Here is a 25,244-nt window from a genome sequence, read left to right as displayed (position 1 = left end):
AGCAAGGGTTATGATCGCTTTGTTCATAGTTAGAATCTCAGCACAGTGACAATCATATAGGAGATTCTCAATGAATACATGTTGATAAAATACACCAATGGAGGGGGAAATTGTGCCTCAAATAAAGAAGGATAGATGACCAATTGTTTCCCCTACTCTTTCCTCAAAGGCTTTTTTGTACTACCAAATATACCTGTCACTTTCTCTAGACCAAAATGGCCTTCCTAACCTGAGGACTCATATCCAGGAAAGCCCCGTGCTGCAAAACAACTCCCTCACATAACTCCATTTATCAAACTTCGCCAATATTGCTCATACTCATTCCCTTCTGAACATTCTCCCATCCACTACCCTCATCATCTCCCACTGGGTCTGTTAAAATAGTCTCCTAAACTGTCTGTCCTCCCACCTCCAGAACTGATCTTGCCTCCTCCACACAATCGCCAGAGTGATTTTTCTAAAATATTCATCCACAGATATCCTTCCCCTAAGTAAGCGCCTTCAAGATCTCCTTAATTCTCACAGGATAAAGTCTAAATTCATTCATATCTGAACTTAATCTAAACACTAGGCAACTTATGTTGAGTGCCAACATCTAGTCTCTTCCACCCCTCCAGACACTTTCTGATTCACACCTCATCCTGAAGCAATGTTAAATTATCAGCAGCTCGTCACACACCATGCTCTGTCTCCTCTCCATATGTGCGTTCATTCTGTTCCTTCTGCCTAGATGCCTCCCCTTCTACATCCAGAAACTCTTACTCATACTTCAAGATTCAGCTCAGATGTTAGCTCCTCTAGAACACCTTCCCTGAATTCTCTCCACACCCCACACTCTGCTCCCAGATTGCTCCCAGATTGGCTGACTGTCTTTCCTCCCATCATACCCAATGCATGAGGATATCATAGCAAATATTATATTGTCCTGAATTTGCATATTTATATGTCCTCATTTCATTATATCTAATTGAGGTCATTAGATATAATGATCTCAAGAGCCACAACTGTGCCTTCCCTCTTCATCTTTATCTCTTCAGGATCTGGCAGACTGCCTGAGCTGCTGTTTAATAAGTGTTTGACCCAAAGGGTTTCACTTTAATCCCCTTTCAACTTCCATTCCCTTTGACAACAAGAAACTCAGTTGCAGATACAGGATCTGGGACAATGACAGAACAGAGCTGATTTAATACAGGATGCAGGCTCTGAAAAAATATGCTGAAAATATTACTTAAATGGTGTCCAGAGGGGACATGTGAAGCTTTTGCTGGACCAGAATTAATTTCTCCTGCGTTGAGGCACGGCATCATGATTTTCTTCTTCACTCTCAGTCCATCTGACCCAGGGCTTAGAATCACTATTCTTCATCTCTGACCTCAGCAACTGTTTCAGATATGAGCATGTGACCCCAGCCAGACCAATAACACTCAATTAAGGACTTTTGTGGGAATTTATTCTTCTGAGAGAAGGACCTGTCTGAGAAAGGAGACAACATAGAGAACAGCAGTCCTCATGACTAGTTCCCCAGGATCTCACTTTCACACTTCCCTATGAAGAAGGATATATAAGCACCTAGACTTCACTGGGTAATCCTCCAAGTCTCCTGTGCTTATGCACATTAAATAAATTTTGCATGCCTTTTTTTCTTAGTAATCTGCCTTTTGTTCAGTGGTTTTCGGTAAACCTTTAGAGGGCAAAGTAGAAGCTTTTCCTCTTCGACTCTACAAAAGCTTTTTCCTTAAAGAAAAGATTTATTTTAAAACTATTTTTCTTCAGTTAGGCACATTGGCACATGCCTGCAGTCTCAGCTACACAGGAGGCTGGGGCAGGAGGATCACTTGAGCCCAGGAGTTTAAGACAAACCTGGGCAATATAGCAAGAGCCCATCTCTAAATAATTAAAAAGATTTTTCTGTCTAAGATGATCCAGAAATGATTCTTCCAAAAAGTTTTTGGAATAGTCTAGATCATGGTTCAGCAAACTGCAGTGTATGGGCTGGCCACCTGTTTTTTGTAAATAAAGTTTTATTGGAACACAGCCATACAATAGTATGAGTTTTTAATATTTTTTCTAGTTGTAAAGATCAGGAAACAATCATAACTTTCCCCATTGATTACATAGATCATGCTGTATGGTTTCTATGCAATGCACATTTTTACTATCCCACACTGTCATGCCTATATATTTAGGTACCATCAGAATAAATGCAGCATCTAAAGCCATGAGATTATATGAGATCACCTAGAAAAATGTTTTTCCAACTGCAAGTCATGACTCACTAAGTGGGTAGTAAAATCAATTTAGTGGGTATAAAGAGGATTTTTTAATGATATAGAAAAGAGAACTTGGATTCTGTGCACACGTGTGTGTGTGTGTGTGTGTGTGTATGTGTGCTGGGAAATGCTGCAAAATATATTTTTTATATGTAGGGATCAAAATAAGTTTGAAAGTCATAAACCTAATAAATGTATGCAAAGAAGAGAGGAAGGTCAAGAACAGAGTGCTAGGGTTTCTAAATATTTGAGTTTGGGAAGTTGAGGAGAAACTATCAAAGATGGCAAAGAAGAATCAGCCCAGAGGTAGGAAGAGAACCAAGAAACCAAGCCCTGGCAACCAGGTTAAAAAGTGTTCTATGAAGGAAAGCATGGTCCGTAGGGTCAACTGTGTGTCCAATTACTACTGTATTTAGCCAGAAGGTGGCCACTGGTGATCTAAACAGTGATGAAGATTATAGTCTTTAATGGAGTGATAGGGTAAAGCCTTCTTGGAACTGATTCACAACAGGAAGTGAAGAATCAAAGATTTTGCTATAAAATGGCATGGATTGATATTTAAAATGTACAAGAAACATAAAGTAAATAAATGTCAGCACACGTATTATTATATACGATAAACAAAACATGTTCAAATTTATGTGTAATGTTATTTTTTACTTCCCTTCTACATCTTTTATGGAATCACAGAACTACAAAAGCACATAAGAGGTCATAGTCCTCATATCCTGGCTAAGAATTATACTAACTTATTACACAGAAAAAATTCTATTTTACTTTCCAAAACTTTCAGGAATTAATATTTTACATCATATTTATAATTATTTTCCTATGATATAATAACCCATAACATGTTCCACTAATAAATTGGTTACATATCTGCTCTTATAAACACAAACTCAAGCTTTCATCTCTTCTTCTTTTGCTTCTCTGAATTCTTTTCCAAAGTCAGTTTTTCTGTAGCCTGAAAGGCATTAGCATTTCAACTTTCTCAGAAAGCCATTATATGCAAAGTCATGGTCCTTTATCATTTCATTGAGGCTGTATAACTTATTTGAGACTCTTGCTTTTCCATCTTTTTTCCTATAACTTTGGCAAACTAGCTTCAAAGATGTTATCTTAGTCCATTTGTGTTGCTATAAAGGAATACTTGAGGCTGGGTAATTCATAAAGACAAGAGGTTTATTCAGCTCATGGTTTTGCAGGCTGCACAAGAAGCATGCCACCAGCATCTGCTTCTGGTGAGGGCTTCAGGCTGCTTCCACTCATGGCAGAAGGTGAGGGGAGCCAGCATGTGCAGAGATCATATGGTGAGAGAGAAAGCCAGAGCAAAAGAAGGGAGGTGCCAGGCTTTTTTTTAACAACAGGTTTTGAGGGGACTAAGAGCAAAACTCACTCATTACAGTAAGGATGGCACTAAGACATTCACCAGGGATCTGCCCCCATGACATAAACACCTCCCATTAGGCCCCATCTCCAACACTAAGGGTCAAATTTCAACATGAGATTTGGAGGGGTCAAACAAACCAAGCTATGGCAGATGTTGTGTTATCACGCACTCAACTACCAGGTATTGTGGTAGCTCCTCTTCCTGCATATACCCTTCACACTGGCAGCTTCCCTCTTTCTTACTTCCAGAACCTCATATCCATCAAAAGCTTATTAAATACAGTGCTCAATGTGCCAGGTGCCATATTAGTGCTCATCGTTCCACCGAGTTCTTTAGGTGCTGAAAGTAAGATGCCAAAAGAAAAAGAGTATATAATATTTAGTATTACATTAAGGCACATGAAATGACCTTTTCTGTAGGTCAAGAGTAGTCAGATATAGGTAGTTTCATGTGGTTCAACCTAAAAGCTTTTCTTGCAAAATCTGTGTGCTCTCTATAGCTGATAGGTGAACACTATAACATCGCTATTTCACCTTGGCTTGCCAACTTGCACCCATTTCTCCAATATCAATGTTCACATTATAGATGAAAATTATAGATTTAAATGTATTTTTTTTAGCAAATATTTGCTAAGTGCCCACTATACAAAGCACTAGACAAAATGTTGAGAATTCGGAGTTGAAAACTCCCACATGTTCCCTGACCCTGGGAGTTGACAGTTTAGCAAGGAGCTAAATGCTAGACAGTCACACAAAGATTTTTATTTAATTTTAAAAAGTTGAGATAAATGAAAAAAAAGTATGGATCTAGTAGAAAAAAACTAAATCAGTCTGGAAAGACAAGGAAGGTTTCCCTGAGAAGGTAACATTTAAGCTAAAGACAGAAGGTTGAGCAGGGGTTAGGAAAGTCAAGATTTCCAGGGAACCGTAAAACAGCTCGTGCAAAGGTCCTAGCTCAGAAAGGAGCTTTCAAGGATCTGAACGAAAGAAAGCCAAAGAACAGGTACAAAATGAGCAAGAAGGAAGGGGCTCAAAATAAGCAAGGTTAAGAAGCAAGACATTGTGAATGCATGTCCTTGAGCAGCAGCAAGTCAATTAAATAACATTAGGCAGGGGCCTGACAGGATATCCTCTGCATTTAAGAAGGATCCCTAGCTTCAGTGTAGACCAAGGACTCTCAGCAAACAGTGATGAGAACACCAAATCCTGCTGCGGTCTGTTGTGTAAATAAGGTTTTACTTGCATGCCGCCACGCCTGTTTCTTTATGCACTGGCTATGGCTGCTTTCTCCTATAAATGGCAGCATTGAGTAGTTGACACAGACAGAGACCGTATGGCCGGCAGGGCTGAAAATATTTATTTTCTGGCCCTTTGTAGAAAAAGTTTGCCCACACCTGGTGCGGAGAATGAATTGGAGGGGCTGAGAGGATAATAAGGAAAAGAAGTCAGAGGATATTGTGGTAGTCTGTTCAGTAATCACTATAGGAGGCCATTATTTTGGACTAAGTTCCTGCCTTGAGCTCCGAGAGACCAGGCTAAAAATCAAAATGGAGTCACTTGTTCTGAGTTCCATGTCACCAAACTAAAACTAAGTCATCTGACCTTCCGAGAAATCAGGAGAGAGATAAAAGCCAATTTTCCAAACAGGCCAGTAAGTATGAAAATTAAGTTCCTCACTTTTAGTCCTTAACCAATCCATTACCTTTCTATTCCTCTGTCTCCCTGTCTCTGCCTAACAAGGAAAGTAACTTTGAAATAACCAATCCACTTTTGTTCTTTCTTCAGCCCTTTTTCTGTCTCTAGAGCCAACCTCCTCTGCTAGAGTCATTGAAACACTTATTCTATTTTATGGGATGAAGTGTCACCTGATTCTAGAATTGCAATAAAGCCAATGGAGAGCTTTAAACTAAATTTGTTGTAATTTTGTCTTTGGACAAATCCAGGCAAAAGAGGCTGTTGGCTTGGACTAGGTTGGCGGTGGAGGTCGTGGAAAGCAGTGAACAGATTCAAGAACAACGAAGACGTGGAATTGACAGTGCTTGGTGAGGGCTGGAGGAAGGGATAAGGAGGCACCTGGAATAACTCCCAGGTCTCTGGTAGGAGCAGCTGGGGGCGGGTTGCGCTGTTTAGGCCACATGGAAACAAAGATGAACAGAGAGAGTGGGGGCAGATCAGGAATGGGCCCTGAACTTTGAGATGAATATGAATAATCCGTCTGAAACATATAAATTACTGAGGGAAAAGGAGGATACTCACATTCTTACGCTACTCTCTGAAATTGTTGTGACTATTGAAAAGTTTTATTAAAAATTATTTAATTCACCAGGCATGGTGGCTCATGTCTATAATCCCAGCACTTTGGGAGGCCAAGGCAGGAGAATTGCTTGAGCCCAGGAGTTCGAAACCAGCCTGGGCAATAGTGAAACGCCATCTCTACAAAAAAATTAAAAAACTTAGCCAGGCATGGTGGCACACACCTGTAGTCCCAGCTAATGGGGAGGCTGAGGTGGGAGGATTATTTGAGCCTGGGAGGTGGAGGCTACGGTGAGCTGAGATTGTGCCACTGCACTCCAGCCTGGGCAACAGAGCAAGACCCTGTCTCACACACACACACAAAAATGATTTTAAAATCCTGCAATTCTTTTCAGCTCTTTGTGCAGTGTCTTCTTGCCTAGCACATCCGTCATCAGTGCCCGGCACAATGGCAAGAATGTAGCTATGCTCACAAAACATGGTATGAAGAGAGACAAGGGCAAATAGGTCTTGCTTCACCCATCAGCTTTTCATTTTCTGAGTACTTGAAATATGTTTTGGGAGTGTCTTTGTCTTCCCCGACCTTCTTTTTCTCTGGCATCATACTGATAGTCTTAATATTGCTTGTCTTACATGGATTGTTTCATTTGGTGGTGGGTTTTTTTTTTAATTGGGGTGTAGGGTGGGGTAAGAGGAAAAGAAAGAGATGTTTTTGTTTTCCCATCTACTACACTCATCTCTCTTGTCTTGTTACCTATGTTCTCTATTAACACACATAGGAATGTCTGCTTTATTCTGTAAAGCCTTTAATATTCTTCCTTCCCTTCAGATCTTTTCTCATACATTTAGCTATTTTTATTACTCTGTGGCTCCTTATCACACTTTACCATATTTTACTGTCTTCATACTTCAACAAAAATCAAATCAGCTTTCAGATATCTCTGCCAAAAAGTTCCAAAAGTTCTTCAGTACTTAATTTCAATTACCATGATTATATAATATATACAGAAAAAACCAGAATCTGTCCACTGGGGATGTTCCAAACTCATCAGGAAGCAGCAAGTTGTGGTGGAAAATGCCTGGTCTTTTTCAGAAAATCTCCCCCTATTATTAACTATGTGTCCTTACTTAAGGGAGCTATTCACACCTGCTTCCTAGAGAGCTATATAAAGTGAGAGTCTATATGGAAACTACCTGGCCTAGTGCCCTAAACATAGTTTGTGCCCTAAACATAATTTCTGCCCTCTCTCCCTTTCTCCTTTCCTCTCATGTACAAAAGGACGTCAGTTCTGCCGGTCCTTTCGCCTTTTTCGCAAGATCAATTTTGTAGTACTAACACACCTAACCTATAGCTGGAGTGGGAGAAAGCAGATGTAAAAACAAATGCCAGGCTAACCCAGGTGGCATCACGTACGTGTGGACAGTGGAAAACGGAGGTATCACATTAAGACAGGAAGCCTTACCAGCACAGGCAGTGATAGGTGTGAAGGTAACTCAAACCACACAGCTCCTGAACCTTAGTAAAATGCAGCTTATAGGTCAGTATCAGGAGATCTATGATAAGAAAGGCAAAAGGCAGAGGACACATTGGAAAGTCTCTAGGAATGGGGCTCAGGCTGCTGAAGAACTGTCTTAGGTATGATCACAAAGTCTCCATCCAGGTGAGACGAGTTTATTGGAAAAGACAAGAGCAGAAATCTGGTCATGAGCAACCACCGAGGTCAGAGCTTCTCCTGGAAAGGTAAGGTCAGTAATACTGAGGTGGTGGCAGAGGCCTTGTCCAGAGTCCCATTCCATCATTCATTTCCTCTGGACTGTGCCAGCATTCTTCAACCTTGGTGTCTAAATTCAAACATTTAACTTAAATCATTGTCTCATTTTTTTTCTTTTCCTGAAGTACAGCTTTGTCACCCTAAATTTCACTCTCTTTTAGTAGGTCTGAAATGTATATCCTTAAATAATTTTCTTTTTGCATTTCTTTTATGAGGCATATATTAAGTATAATAAAAATTACTTTCATATTGATTTATATTTTTTCAAATTCCAACATGAAGTGCAAACTATATGTTACCACCACACAATTTTAACAATCAATTATATTATAAATTTTTGAAAGTCCTTATTATCTTCTTTTTGGGATTCATGTCAGATATGGTAAAACTCAAATTTTAATTAATAAAACTTTTCATCTATTACCAATAAAATGTCAGTGAAATGGGATCTTGCAGAATATATGTATAAACATCATTCTGAAATCCCACACAAGCACTTACATTTGGAAACTCAACTCAAAAAATTTTATGTTATTTTGTCATATGTTGTTTTGCACTACTTTGAAAATTTTTTGTGCAAATTTCCCAAAGTGACATTTTTCTCAGAGAACAAGAAGGTCCTGTAGTATGTATGACTAAGATTACTTCTTCCAAAAATTGAGTCAACATATGCAATCAATTTGGCTACGTATGGTTACTTACAAGCAATATTTTTTAAAAAATGAAAACTGCCTCTAGGCTATATGATTTCTGCAGCTACTAAAAACTGATTTTCAAAAAGACTACAATCAATTCGTTTTAAAGAGCACAATAATAATAAGGGCATTATTTTTATTTTTATTTTTTGATATTTCCATTCAGCTTTCAAATAATCAGAAATTCTCTAGGTACATGAAAATTACCTGCAGAATTTCTCCCAACATGATTAGGGCTGGCCTCATGCCAAATGAGGTTATGATTTCCTTAGGGATTAGGTATTAAGAATAAGATGTTTCTTACCTGTTAGTCATCTATACAGCATTTTTAAAAACCCAAAAAGCACAAGCACAGCATAAACAATGACATAATTTCTTATAATCAGTCTTGGTTGCTTATTATTGTTTTTACATTATGTGTATGTGTATTTCATCTTTCCTATAAACTTGAAGTGTTTGTAACATGACAGAAGCTTAGTAACTTTTTTTTTTTTTAAACAGGGTCTCACTCTGTCACCCAAGCTGGAGTGCAGAGGCACGATCTCGATTCATTGCATCCTCCACTTCCTGGGCTCAAGCAATTCTCCCACTTCAGCCTCTGGAGTCGCTGGGACTACAGGTGCCCACCACCATGCCTGCCCAATTCTTGTATTTTTGTAGAGACAGGGTTTCACCATGTTGCCCAGGCTGGTCTCAAACTCCTGGGCTCAAGCAATCTACTCGTGTTGGCCTCCCAAAGTGCTGGGATTACAGGTGTGAGCCACCGCACCCAGCAATAATTTTTAAAGTATGTTTAAAAAAGCAAAGAATTTTTCCAATAAGTGGGAATGTTTTTGTATAAACTTGGATTTCCAAAATTATTAAAAATAGGAGACACAGAAAATTGTTAACCTAATTGCCCCCAAAGAATCATAACTCCGAGTCCACATGGCCTGGCTGACAACTAGTACCAACAGTCAGACGTAAGTGAAGCTCCTGCTTGAACCAGGCAGCTTCTAAGTGAATTCAGAAAAGACTTGCTGAAGAACTTTCCAGCTGAGCCCAACCCAAATTGCTGACCAACAGAGTTATGAAAAAAATCAAATGATGATTGTTATTAAGCCACTGAGTTGCAGGGGTGGTTAAATATGTGGCAATAGATAAGTAACACAGGACAGGAGAGTGACACAATTGATTAACAGAAAGAGTAAAGATTAGTGTGGTAGGCTGAAAAAATGGCCTCTCAACAGATATCCATGCCCTAATCCCTGAAACCTGTGAATGTTACCTTATATGGCAGAAACAATAGAATCTTTGCAGATGTGATTAAATGAATGATCTTGCAATAGGGAAGTTATTCTGGATTACCTGGGTGAGCTCTAAATGCAATCACACCTATCCTTGTAAGAGGGAGATTACAAGCACAGAAAAAGAGAATACAATGTGTCCACAAAGGCAGAAATTGGAGTGATGTAGCCACAAGTCAAGGAATGCTGGCACCCACCAGGAGCTGGAAAAGGAAAGGAAGGAATTCTCCCTTAGAGACTCTGATGGAACAGCAGCCCTGACAACTCCTTTATTTCAGTCCAGTGATACTAATTTCAAACTTCCGGTCTCTAGAATTGCAAAGGATAAATTTCCGTTGTTTTAAACAACCAAATTTGTGGTAATTTGTTACAGAATCCACAGGAAACTAATACCATGGGTAATACATGTATATGGGAGACCAAGTTGTCTTTATGCTGTGATGTCAAAGGGAAAATTATCTCCCATTACAGTAAGTCTTTTTTCTTTGAGCAACAATTCAATTATTTGGTTGCTTCTATATTGGAGTACTTAAACCTTGACAAGGAGTTTAAGAAAATACAGGACAGCCAGGCACAATGGCTCATGCCTATAATCCCAACACTTTGGGATGCTGAGGATTGCTTGAGCCCAGGAGTTTGAGATGAGTCAACAAAGTGAGACCCCTACAAAAAATGAAAAAAGTTTAAAAATTAACATTTAAAAAATTAAAATTAGTCAGGCATAGCAGCATGTGTCTATATAGTCCCAGCTACTCAGGAGGCTAAGGCAGGAGGATGTCTTGAGCCTAGAAGTTTGAGGCTGCAGTGAGCTATGCTCTCACAACTCCACTGCAGACTGGGTGACAGAGCAAAAGCTTGTCTATAAAAAAGAAATAAAAGAGGAAAGAAAGAGAGAGAGAGAGAGATGAAAATACAGCATAAAAATGCATAATCTGAAATAGAACTTAAAGATAGTGTCCATTTCACTCATAAGTAATAAACAACATTATTTATACATTACAGAATGCAATACAAATTCACATTTTTTTCAAGAAGAAATTACATCTAAATTAAATATCAAATGTGCAACGTATGGGTGCTTTGGACTACAGCCTGAGATTCACAGAGATTCTAAATCACCCTTCCCTATTGCTAGAGGAGATCCAATGGAAAATATTGAGAAGTATTATATCCACTTTTGTTTTGTGTGAGTGATACAATGGAATACTTCCGTCAGAGCCTTGGGGGATAAACCATCATAGACAGGGAGTTCTGTACTTGCTATGGAAGACAATCTCCTTTAGAGGATCTAATATTCAGGAAAAAAATGCAAAATATGTGTAGGTTCTTACCCAATGCCCATATTAATTTTCTTTTTAATTCAGAAATTATACCCTATAAAGTGATTTAATAAATTATGCCATGTCCATAAAATGGAATATTATACAACCATTGATATTACCTACAAATACCTATAGAAAATGGTTGAGAAAATGTTTATAGAAAATGGTTCAGGAAATGTTTATGACAAAATGTTTAAAAAAAGGTTGGACAAAATTATAATTTATACAAAGACATATGCACAGGAAAAAAAAACAAAAAGGTAATTGCTAAAGTGAGAGAAGAGAAAGGAAGAAACTGATCAGGCAGCCAGTTAGGATGGGTTCTCAGTTGAATTCTTTCAATCAAAAGAACAGCCTGAGAAATCAAGCTGCAGGCACAGATAATTTTGCACAAGGGGCTTGCCTAAGACATGCCTGCAGCCACACATATAAGAAAGGTTACACAGCTGACTTCCCAGATATGCCCACAATGGAAAATTCCGTCCTCTAACACATGCACAGTAAAGGGAACAAAGCAATATGGAGTAACTCAAGCTAAGGGCCTGCATGTGCACTAGTATGATGGGGTGGAGCCACCAGAAATTTGCACCTTATGCAAATGAGACTCCCAGCCCTCACTGGTTTCCTGTAAAAGCCTTTGCATTCAACTATAAAAACAGCAACTCTCTTTCAGGCCCGCTCTCTGCCTCGAAGAGCTTTCTTCTTTCACTTACTAAACTTTTGCTCCAACCTCACCCTTTGTGTCCATGCTCCTTAATTTTCTTGGTTGTGAGACAAAAAACTCTGGCTGATACCTCACGAGAGACTGCTACATTGTAGTGTATTGGTGAGATTGTAACAAAGGGTTAACCGTGTCAAATTATTTGTACTTTTCTGAATTTTCTCAAACCGGTGAGTGTGCATGTGTATTTCTTTAATCCAGAAATAGCCTACTTCAAACAGACACAAAAGACATTTGCCTTTTCCTACTTCTAAAATAATTGGAGGCAGCCTACACAATTTTACATTACATAAAATAGGCCACTGAAAGTAAAGTCAATGCCAAAAGAGGTGCAAAATGAACTTTAATGTGCATATGAATCACCTGGGGACCTTGTTAACAGCAGAGTCTGATGTGATACTGCTCCTGGCAAACAAGTGGGGCACCACACTTTAAGTATTAAATAGCAAGGAAAGAAACAAGAAGTAGATGTCACACAGCAACTGAGATGATTTAATCACCATAGCTGGAGGCTGGACTTAACATTTTTCCTGTTTAAACAGAATAAATCATTATATATAACAAAGGCTAACCTTAAACTATAATTCAGTAAAAATAATTGTTCCAATAATCTAACGTTCAATTTTACTTTTTAGAAATACAGAAATAAAGCTTGCTTCATATCCTTCTTGAAGGAACAGTATTTATAGATATGAAACCACTAAGAATAGAGCTTAAAATTCTAGAGTTGAAAGACATTCCCCTAGAGAATATTTTTCAGTGTGGGAAAATGATCCATTATTTTAATTTGGCTGAAGACTCTTGATCATAGCTTGTGAGAGCCCTGAAATCCAAAACAGAGAGAGCAATACAGAAAACTGTATTGCTGAAGTCTTTAAGTAAGCAATTCATTCAGGCACAATAGGTAGCATGTAAGCTACACAGGTATAACCATGGCATAATTGATATTTGGGACCAGATCATTCTTTGTTGTGAGAGGCTGCCTGGTGCACTGTAGGATATTTAGCAGCATCTATGGCCTCCACCAGATGTCAGGAGCACCCACCTCCTCCCTGCCTTTCCATCCCTACTCTCCCCAGAGTTGTGACAACCAAAAATGTCTCCAGACAAGCCAAATGTCCCCTAGGTAGCAAGATCTCACCCATTTGAGAACTACTTCTAAAACTTCTTCTAGGACTCTATTGGAATTAAGTGTTTTTTTTTTTTTGAGGAAATATTTGCTTTTAAACATTTGATTTTCATCAATCTTTGGATGATTTGACTTTATTGTCAATATCTAGTAAATTTGCCAAAATATTTTTTTTATTCCTTGCTCCTTTTATCCAACTAAAAACTGGGCAGGTAGAATTTTCTGTTTTCCTAAACAGGAAGGAGGCAAAGCTGGTTTCACCTTGTCGTCTAACTGTAAGCACATAAAGGAAATATTGGTCCAAAATATTGCTTGAGCAAAGTTCTATAAATTCATTAGACTCAAGAAATTAATTCAAGAAACTAGAAGATGTAGTGAAGAAGAAATAGTAATTTTTTTTAACAAGATAAAAATATTCTAGCTTAAAAGTCAGAGTAAAAACTTCTAGATACAAAAAACCAACAAATATTAAAATAATATTTACACTTTCATAATAATAAAGAGGTTTTAAGTCTATATTATCTTTATAGTAAGCAACAGTGGAATTAAAAAGAAGTTTCCGCCTGGCACAGTAGCTCACACTGGTAATCTCAGCACTTTGGGAGGTCAAGGCAGGCAGATCACTTGAGGTCAGGAGTTCCAGACCACCCTGACCAACATGATGACACCCCATCTCTACTAAAAATACAAAAATTAGCTGGGCATGGTGGCACACATCTGTAATCCCTCTGGGATTACTCTCTCCTGAGGCGGGAGAATCATTTGAACCAGGGAGGTGTAGGTTGCAGTGAGCCAAGATCGCATCACTGCATGCTAGCCTGGGCGACAAAGCTAGACTCTGTCTCAAAAAAAAAAAAAGTTTCTACTTTTTAAATCATTACAGAAACTCAAAGTAAAAAACATGGGCCGGGCGCGGTGGCTCACGCCTGTAATCCCAGAACTTTGGGAGGCCGAGGCAGGTGGATCACGAGGTCAGGAGATCGAGACCATCCTGGCTAACACGGTGAAACCCCGTCTCTACTAAAAATACAAAAAAATTAGCCGGGCGTGGTGGCGGGCGCCTGTAATCCCAGGTACTCGGGAGGCTGAGGCAGGAGAATGGCGTGAACCCAGGAGGTGGAGCTTGCAGTGAGCCGAGATGGTGCCACTGCACTCCAGCCTGGGCTACAGAGCGAGACTCCATCTCAAAAAAATAAATAAATACAAATACAAATAAATAAAAATTTAAAAACTGGACTTTATTGCAAAATACAGAATAGAAAGCAAACAGTAATAAAAAATAAAGATAAAAATAATAAAATCAAACATGATAATTATGGTAATCAATATAAGTCATTTATATTTTCCTATCAAAAGAAAAAAGCCTAAGACATTATGAGAAAATAACTAATTCTACAACGTCTGATAGATATACATAAAATGACACGGAAAGACTTAAAAAAAAAAACAGAGTATGTACATGCATATCAAACAAACCCCAAAATAAAAAACAAGTAAGGTAAGCTAATTATGCAAAATTGACTTTAATATTTTTTAAGCAGTATTTAGGTGAAAGGACCACTTCATAATTTGAAAAGGCAAAATATCTAGTGAGTAAATAACTAAAAAAAAATGCAGCAAGAAGTTATATATGGCAAAAACCTTTAGAAGTCTAAGTAGGCAATAATCAAACACAATTACAGAAGAAAGCAACCCACCTCCACCTGCTTACAACAGGTCAAGTGGACATAATAAGGACAGTAGGGATTTTTTTAAAAAATGATGAGTTCATGTCCTTTGTAGGGACATGGATGAAATTGGAAATCATCATTCTCAGTAAACTATCGCAAGAACAAAAAACCAAACACCGCATATTCTCACTCATAGGTGGGAATTGAACAATGAGAACATATGGACACAGGAAGGGGAACATCACACTCTGAGGACTGTTGTGGGGTGGGGGGAGGGGGGAGGGATAGCATTGGGAGATATACCTAATGCTAAATGACGAGTTAGTGGGTGCAGCGCACCAGCATGGCACATGTATACATATGTAACTAACCTGCACATTGTGCACATGTACCCTAAAACTTAAAGTATAATAATAAAAAATAAAATAAAATAAAATAAAATGAATCAACATATATTTATCTTGGTAATCTAGCAACAGGGAATTCACCTTCTGGCATATACATGAAATACAATAGCTAATTACATAATTTGTCATAGGGAAATTTTGATAAATTTTAGAAACAAAATTTGTAAATTTTATAAATTTATAAATAAGAAAGACTATAGATCACATTCTCTAATAACCATATGATGAAACTGGAAATTAATAAAACTTTGAAAAGAGGCATAAAACTTTTTTAAAAAATAAATGAGATCAAAGAAGAAAATTAAAAATAGTTTATTTATGAAATAGTGTGAAAGGACCCCAAAATCACTAAGCTAAAAGGAAAAGTCAACCTGGAAACTGCTTAGGGCAAACCTGCCTCCCATTCTATTCCTAAAAACGATAGCTACTAAGATAAAAAAGCTACATACCTCCCTCACAATTTGTCCACAGGGACATTTCTTGAGGACAAAGGACAAACAGAACTCAAAGTCATCCCTCTGCTCACTGAGATAAATGCATATTTGATTGCTTCCTTTGGAAAGACTTACCAGAAACTCAAAAGAATGTTTGTTTGTCTCTTATCTGGAACACCCCTCCCTTCTTCGAGTTGTCCCTCCATTCTGGACCAACCCAGTGTATATCTTTTTTTTTTTTTTTTTTTTTGAGACAGAGTTTCGTTCTGTCGCCCAGGCTGGAGGGCAGTGGCACCATCTCGGCTCACTGCAAGCTCCGCCTCCCGAGTTCACGCCATTCTCCTGCCTCAGCCTCCCGAGTAGCTGGGACTACAGGTGCCCGCCACCACACCCGGCTAATTTTTTGTGTTTTTAATAGAGACGGGGTTTCACCATATTGGCCAGGATGGTCTCTATCTCCTGACCTTGTGATCCACCCGCCTCGGCCTCCCAAAGTGTTGGGATTACAGGCCTGAGCCACCGCACCTGGCCCCAGTGTACATCTTACACATATTGATTGACGTCTCATTTCTTCCTAAAATGTATAAAACCAAGCTGTGCCCTGACCACCTTGTGCAAATGTCATCAGGACCTCCTAAGGCTGTGTCACAGGTACATCCTTAACCTTGGCAAAATAAACTTCCTAAATTGACTGAGACTTATCTCAGATACTCTGGTTTGCAATAGCAATAATGAGATTGCTAAATATAAAAAGCTTTAGGATTGTTCAAAGGGTTACTCAGAGATAATGCCATAACTTTAATTCTTTTCCTGCTTTCCTGCTTAAATATAAAAATAAAGGAACCAAACAATTTTTTATTGTAAAGAGAAGATTCCTTAAATAGATAAAAAATAATTAAAATATATTTAAAAAATAATAAATGAGATGAAAGAACAACGATGAATTGAGTAAGTAATTTCCTAAGCTCTTTATTTAAAGTGATAATGATAATGATGAAATAGACTAGCACTTCTTAAATTGGTGTTAAGAAAAAAATTAAAATCTATTCCAGAGAATTTTAATAACTGTGCCAAGAAAAAGCCTTCCTCTACACAAATAAGTTCTTTATTTTTAAGTTCTTTTAATCATTGAATAAACTTCAAAAGTTTTCCCTGTTATTTTAAAACTTCTCAGATCTTTTCTTATGTTAATATGTACTTTGAATCCTCAAGGAGAGTATTTAGTACAATTTCCCAAGCTTATTTGCCCTTTTTTTAGTATTCTGAGAACAGCTTGCAGAATGCTGACCTAGACTAACTTCTTACAAAACTATTTTAAAAAACAGAAATAATTAATTAGGTTAAAAACAATACAATGGAAACAACAGAGAAAAAGGCATTAAAATGGAATGCTATGCACCATTAACATTAGTTAAAAATGGAAGAACATCATATAAGAGCACAAGCTATCCAGATATGCCTTTCTGTTTATGTAATTTGTGTTCTAAATCATGATATGATATTAAGTAGCATTATAAGATGGATGAAAATGTGAGCACAATGTTTAGCCTAAATCAAACTTTAAGAATTCTATAACTACAACTCCAATTGTCCCTTCCTGGGTGAAAAGGTATACTATGTGAAGGTGGCAAGGAAACTTCAAGGTCCTTACTGTAAGAACAAGAAGGATGCAGGGCTGTGAGGTAAATATGCGGGATTTTTTGGACAACTTGGAGGAGAGCAAGCAATTCACCAATCTAGGAATGAGCCCTATCTCTGTCAGCAAGACACAGAAGACAAAAGTTACAAATGTCAAGTCCAGCAGGTGGAATAGAGGCAGAGGTTATTTGCTGACCAAACATAGAAGAGATACCAACTAAGATTTGGCCCCTTCTCTGCCCACAGGAGGACCAGGAGCTATGGCCAGGCTATGGCCAGGCACGTAGGTCCTAAAAGTATACCTTTCAATACATGTGTTGTTTTTAACCTATAGAGCACAGCAACGAAGACTCCAAATCCTACTACAGAAAATGAGAAATTTACTACTGCACACTCAGTAGGTTTGTGTCTTGCTATTGGATCAGCCTTAGGCAGTTAAAAGGAAGTAACTAATAATCAGGCAGAGCTTTAAGAAGTATAATTTTCCACTACAATGCAGGCCCAAATTGAGCTATTTCTCACGACATTAACAAATATGTAGATCATAATGAAATTATTTCCTGAAAATAAATTACAACTCTAATTCTAAGTGTGATAAAATTTATATAAAATAGAGAAGTACGGGCCAATTTCCTTTATGAATATACATATGAAAACCTAAGTAAAATGTCAGAAAGTAGAAATGTGTGTTTTAAAAATCTGCTCCAAAGTTTACTTTTAGTATCCTATAAATAAAAAATTATCTTAAATCAAAATGACATTTAATAAAAACTAATTATTCCAAATGCTTAAAGTACCTAATCTGCAACTTCAGAAGAATGGTTATTTGAATGCTTGACTATGCATATGAGCACAGAAATGCCATTCCCATTAAAATCAGGGAAAAGACATACTATGTAACAGTATACTAGAAATTCTCTACTATTCAATTATGCATAGGAATAAATTACGATATATAAACTTAAAAATATAAAGTACCAACACTGTATACAATTTATATAGTACACTCAGAAAAAAAACAGAAAAAATAAACTAGACATCACCTGTAAAATGGAGATGATAAAATAAAGAAATAAATAAACAAACTGGACAGCCATTAGAATTCAGAGTTCAGCAAAAAGGCCAAAAACAAAATATTTATATGAAAAATAAATAGTTGTTTTACTCCAACAATAACAAGTTAAAAATATAATGAAATAATTTATCCACAGTAGCAATAAAAATATTGCTAGCATAGGAATGACTACAATGAGAAGTATATCACCAATATTAACATAACTGCTATAATTTTCTGAGAAACAAAAGTTATAAAACATTCACTTTTTCTCAGATTTATACTTTGGTGCATTTTCACTCAGAATAAAAAAGAGAATGTTTATTAAGTGATAACATGATATGAAGACCTTCTAGAAGACAAACTGGTGGGAATAACAAAGCAAAGAAAATAATTAAAGAGATAAAATCTAAGAATAAGGGTGAGGATAGCACTAGCCCTTTGAGATATTAAGACAGTCACACATATAAGGCTACAAAAGTGAAAAAAAAATTAGGTGGGAAGCAATTATGTATGCATATATCACAGAAATAAGCTATTATATCTTTTATTTTCATATTTGAAAAAAAGGCATTCTAAATCTATGTTTAAAAATATTATCCAGTGAAGAAGTTTGGTTCAATTGGCTAGCAACTTGCAGAAAATAGAGTTTAGATTTTTAAATACCACCATACAATAAAGGCTGGGTTGATTGGTTGGTTGATTGATTTTTGAAATGTTTGATGTATTAGTTCCCAACTGGAGATTTGAATCAGAATCTCTTCTGGAGCTTTCTTCACATGCATGTTTGTGCCTGGGGACCACTCTTGGACAAGTGCAAAGGACAAGGAGTCAATGGACAATGGCTTATGTAATCTAATGTGCAAAACCCCTTCTGCCATTGAAAGACACGGAATTGAGTTCAAATCCTGACTCTGCTATTAGGTGTGTGACTTTAGGAAACTGAAACTTGGTTTTGATGATCTTACATTTCCCCAATTATAAAATGAGAATGAAAATAATAACTATTTTAAAACATTATTTTGAGGATTAAATAAAATGACTTACATAAAGTACCTAGATTTCATGCTTCTAATTCATTAAAAAATACACCGATACATGAGTTTGTTTCTCTGTCTGGAAAATCACATCTTTAAAAGTAAAACAAATTTTTATAATAAATTTAATTTTTTGCCTTCAGTTCTCAAGGGAAAAGGAGGAAGCATCACCACACACTCAGCTCCCAGCCTTTTACTTTACACGTCTAAACTTAAAATACAAAACTTAGACTTGAGCAACTGTGGTTAAAAATCTAAGAGAGAAACAATAAAAATAGAGAAGAATCCAACATATTCAGTTAGTATTTCTTCTAAAGAAGGAGAATGAAGCATCTAATATTTCTTATGCATGAAATCAAAGACATATTCAGGCACATAGCAGAAATGCTTTAATGACCTAGAAAAGAGTTGTAAAAACCCTGGCTTATTTGATTCCTCAAGTTGCACACCACCAGAAGACCACGGAGTAAGTAGTACTGAATTAAAATGTAAGCACAGAAAACTAGGTCCCAAACTATCAAAAAATGATTCCCAATTCTAAATGTTCAACCACATCTATCTTAAAATATTTATAATATTTTTTTCAAATTATCTCATACTATTCCAAATGATTAGTTTTCCCTGCTATATTTTCTCAACTTTCAAATTAAAATTCTTTGCTTTAAAGTTAGCATTGTGATTTGTCATTTTCTATATCCCATTCCAAAAAAACTCTCTAATGGAAAAAAATGTTTAGTACATTCCTTCAGTTAGAAAATTATCATTGCTACCTTAGCAATCTATTAACATTCTTGGGAGAATTCTTACTTACATCAAAAATGTGGAAAGAACAGATTTAATACAAGTTCAACTGCTTTTATGCAAAACAAAACACGTTTTATAATTTTGGTCACAATCTCTAAGTAAACAAAACTTCTATTCTAATGGAATAACGCATCTCTCATTTCTATTATCCTGACACAAATACACACTTACTTAATATTCTGTTTGTGTGCTATCACCCTTCCCTGTAATGCTAGCAAAGAGTTTTAATTTTCCCCAAAAACCTCAAACTACAGATGGATAATTTTATAGACTTTGTGATTTTCAGCACAATCACTCCTCACTGAACACTTCCTGTCACCATCTGCCTCTTTTAAGGCCAAATAGGACTTTTCTTGGCTTGTTTATTTTTCTCCACAATCTGTTGTCTGACATTTTTCTCACCACCTTCTGGCCTTCTGTATTTTTGGATAGCTGCTCCAATCTGCACTCTTCCCACTCTTGTGTCTCCTGATTTTTCCAATGGGTCTTGAATGTCAATCAGTGGGCTGTACTCATTCACACAGAATGTGTTTGCTTTACCACTGGTTGGTGATATTTGCGTTTTAAACAACACCCTTATTAAATTCCTGAGTCTATTATTCTGAATAACTACCTACATTGGTGTCATCTGTCTTAGAATGAAGGCTTAGAGGACAAAAAACTCTCAGTCCACCTGTCAGAATTCAATTCCAAGAGTACGACATGAATTTGATCTTGAGGTCCTTCATAAGTTGCACTCAGTGAAATGTGCCCACACAGAACAAAAACAAAAAAGTAAGTCAGACTTTGTTAATACTGAATAGAAAATGACTAATGGTTCTCAATTTTCCCATTCACTACAAATTATTTATTAAGTACCCACCATGTTCCAAGCACGATACCAGGGGCTGGAGATTTAATGTCTTTTTTTTTTTTTTAAGACAGACAAAATATTAAAGTTGTAATAAAAGGAACTGAACTTAAGGCCCTAGACACTTTTGGATGAGTAAAATGGTGAGGCTTCACATTTATACTGATATGATCTAGTTAACTTAGTGCTTTTTTCTACATCACTTTCTCTGGGCTAAAATCATAGTTCTAAATGAAATGCATTTTCTACCATCAAAAAAGACAAAGCTAATGATAAAAAAAAAAAATACTGCCAATAAATATTTGTGGAATGAATGAATGGCTGCCAGTTCTACTGTTTGTAGTTTTACAATCCTAAAGTCAATTAAACTCTCTGAGTCTATTTCTTCATCTGTAAAATAGAAGTATAATTCCTACTTCATTACATTGTTGAATGAAAAGAGATAATCTCTGTGAAGCCCAGGCTCTTAGAAACTGCTCTATAATGAATAGCTCTGTCTCCAAGTCAAAGGCAATTCAATAATACCAAGGGAATTATATTTAACTTAGTCCAAATATTTTCATATGGCTACACTTGACTTCTAGGAAATTTACTCATTTTTTTTAAAGTCTAAACTAAGGAGAATTGGACAGTTTCCCAATTTTTATAACCATCAACATCTTATCTGTTGCCATTCCTCCACCCCACTCACCCATTCCTTCTTCTGCCCCCTAATCCATTCCATATTATTTTCTAGTCTAAGAAAATGGCTCTTTCTTTCTGTCCCCTAAGCCCAGTGGTTTATTTGCATCTTTTGTAAATAAACCTGCCAGCTTTCTAAATAAAACCTAACTCCAGTCCTGCAAGATTACAGTGAAGAAAGCATCTCATAAGATAAAGAGAAGCTGGAGGTCAGAATTCTCTTTTTTACCAAATTCCATTCATTCATGGACTCATTGACACATTCGAAAATATTTTCTGAGTCCCCACTGTGTGCCAGGCACTGTCCAAGCTGATGAGAATACAGTGCTGAGAGAGACAGAGAAGGTCCCTGGTGCCACTGAGCTTATGGCCTAACAGGATAAACAACTGTAAAACAGGTTGATGAGGAGGCATATGTGGGGCCACCGCACTATCTAGGACAAACCTATATAACCCAGGCCGGGGGAATCAAGAAGGCGGAACCCCTACTGTGAAATCTAGTAATTGAGAAGAAGATAGCCAGGCAATGATGGGGAAGACCAGTCCAAGCAGAGGAAACGGCATGTGCAAAGCCTGGCATGAGCAGAGTTTGGGGCCTCTGGAGATCAAGCAAGTTATGTTGAAGAGCCTAAATTGTCTACCGCATATTCTCCCTTTGATGATTTCTACTGTGTTACCCTAAAGCCTCCAGCACCCTTTTGTGTAAGTGCCTCAGCCTGCCATGAGCTACACTACTGGAAATTTAAAACAATATTTTGTGTCTCCCCTAGGGGCCAGAGCATTAAGGGGAGCAGTGCCCCCACCACTAGCTAGCCCAATAGTGGCAGTGGTCACCGCCCAGAGCCCCCAGAGGGGCAGGTGAATGAATGAAGGGTAGGCAGAGTCAGGGCCAGAGGATCGGTGAAGACCCTCCCATGTGCCTTCTCCCTCCATCGCCAAGCTTAGAAGATCGTGTGTAACTTTATTAAGGAAGCCAGAAAGCTTCCCTACACCTTACTTCAGAGCAATGCTTTCGTCTCAGCTACTGTTACGGTTGAGTTGGCGCAGGAGTAGGGAAGTAGCTGAGCTGGCAGGGGAGTGCAGGCGGGAAGATTCCTTGTGTAGTCTGGGCCTTAAGTTTTAAGAAAAACGTTAACGCCATGCCTAGAACTGCAGAACCCAAGGCCAGCTTCTAATTCCCGGTTTTATATTTAGTGTTTACCTCTGGGGGATCTAGATCCTAAAGAAAACTAACTAAACAAACAAAAAAATCTGTGTCATTCTTGGACCGAAAACAAAAACTTACATTCTCCCATGTTACCTAAAAGGAAGACACAGGACTTCTATATATGTGACAAATATATATATATATGCACTATACCTGTGTACTACACAAATATGTACTATATGTATGTATGTAATATATATGTACTGTATATACTATATATGTACTAGACAAACAAATATATGCTATATTTGTGACAAATATAACATGTAACACATCACTATATAAATGTATTTGTATTAATTTTGATCTCTATATTTCTACATCATTTAAATTATACACTTGAGCTACAAAATAATTAGGTGAATAGGTGAAATAATTAGAGAATAAAAGGAAGACATGGAATATATAATAAATGTTTACCAAAAAGCTTTTACTCATAGTGAAAATTTAAGTATTAGTCATTATTAATTGTCCCAAAGCATACTTTAAAGGAAATAATGCTAAGAAAATATTAAAGATTGTGGTGACAGCTCCTCTGAGCAGGAGGAGCTGGTTTCATTTTGCTGTATTTAATCCAAATGATAAAGGAATTTAATAAAATTACCCTCTAGGTAGCAGTAGTTTTAAAAAATAATCCAAATCCGTTCTGACACAATAGCTCTCCAGAGAATAACAGTAGATCCTACAAATGACAGAGGAAGAAACTCACCTCGTCTGCTGCCCCCATGTAGAGAAAAATAGATTAACTCACTGCCATGGAATCCTGTAAAGATCATTCTCCAAAGGTTTTTCCACCAATCAGAAGGTCAGTGATCTAGAGATATTCTGGAGACCGGCACTATTAACATTTTCATTAATTATATCTATTTATGATTTGTCAGCAGCAAGGCTAAGGAGGAGATAAATTAAAGATTCAAAACCAATGCCCTGTTCAAACATATTCATTTGGAATTAATTTGTAATAATGAGGTGATTATGAGACAACTCATTCATCTGGTGCTAATTATATTTTGTTTTTTTTTTTAAATAATGGCTGTTTTTCCAATCTGGCATTTTGTAATGTCACTAAAGTTCACTTCAAAATGCAAATATATCCTAAGACAATAACCAGCTGTCCCTGCGGTCATGTGAGGTGGTACTTTTCAAGCTCAATTTGGTTTCTGGATGCATTCTTCTAAATTATTTTTTATATACACTGTAAATAAGTACATATGTGTATATATGTAAATATGTGTGTGTGTGTATGTGTGTGTGTGTGTATATATATATATTACTTTATCTCTATATCTACGTTATCCAGGATACTTTGGCTCAACATTTCTTAAGTCAAATTTTGCAGACCAGTCAATATTCATCAAACTACTTTAAGATGGAGCCAAGTGGCCTACAAGAGAATACTGCTAAGGCTGTTAACACATATAATTTATGCAGGAGAATATTCCAAGCTTCCTGACTGCATCACACTTTTAACTTTTTCTTACATTCGAAACTACACTTAGAATCATAACAAACTTCATTTTTCAAACGTTTGACTTTGAGGTGTGTACAAGTATACTCTGACTCTATAAACTTACTCTTCTTTAAAGCAGATCATCCTATTTATCATAAGATTATTAAAAATGTATACCTTTGCTTTTATTTGCCATAAAAAAAGCTTTCTTTGGAATAAAATAGATTTTTATCCAAAGATGCAGAACTGTTTTCAAGATAAATCCAATCTGATCAATTTGACAGATTAAGACTCTCTTCAATAGTAATTCCTCAAATTATTTAAATAATTTATGAAACAGTAAAGGCTTAAAATATGAATTACATAGCCTTAAAAGTTCTAGATCCTTCATGGATTTTATTTTTGGTTTATTATTGCAGGAAAATACATACAAATCTTTTGAGAAAAATAACAAAACCAAGACTTTTTTTCCCAGTGTGCTATAAGCGAGCTCAATAAATGTTTCAAAGTGAACGATTTTTCTTGTCCATATCAAAATAGAATACTCGTCAAATGCTATTAATAATTTAACTTAGAATAGAATCATAAATATGCATGAATGGAAGATCACTTCCTGTATCTCCATGCTCAGAAGACCTTTGACTAAACATTTCCAGAAAGATAAACAGCTGCCCAATTTTCAGGTATCTCCAAGCACGTCAATGCCAGAGGCTCTGAGAAAAAGAAAAGGCTTACATGACATCTTCTGTGACCTCTTGAGCTGTGTTGGTTGTCCCCTCCTCTGTGTTCCTGTTCATGCCTGTAACACAACTCCTAGCATGTCCCTTAATTATCTATTTACACATCAATTTCTCACAGGAAAGTTTCCAAAGCATTTTAGTTATCCTTGCTTTTTATTTGAGAAAGTAAGCTCAGAAAAGTTAAGTAACTTGCTTAAAGCCTCAAAGGTAGTACTGATAAAGCCAGAATTCAGCTAAGAGCTATGAGTCCAAAGCCTCTTGAATTCTCCATCATACTATGTTTCTGCCTCAAATATGGCATCACTCCTAATGAAGCTGGTGTTCAAAACATGCCTGCTAATTAATTACATGTACAAATGCCTTACATGTACATGTTCTGGGTCACCATGCTGGGTACTGGAGAGAACTGTGTGAACAAGATTCCCGTTCTCTATC

At 36.9% G+C, this 25,244-nt stretch overlaps 1 protein-coding gene across 1 annotated transcript in view; it reads right to left on the bottom strand.

Moving 5' to 3' along the window:
* Positions 1–25,244, bottom strand: part of CPE (carboxypeptidase E) — a 119,540-nt gene that overhangs the window by 59,973 nt on the left and 34,323 nt on the right. The window lies entirely within an intron of this gene.

The sequence above is a fragment of the Homo sapiens genome, chromosome 4 (genome assembly GCF_000001405.40).
Source record: "Homo sapiens chromosome 4, GRCh38.p14 Primary Assembly".
Classification (NCBI taxonomy): Eukaryota; Metazoa; Chordata; class Mammalia; order Primates; family Hominidae; genus Homo; species Homo sapiens.
Note: the sequence above shows the minus strand (reverse complement) of the source record. Positions and strands in the feature narration are given on the sequence as shown.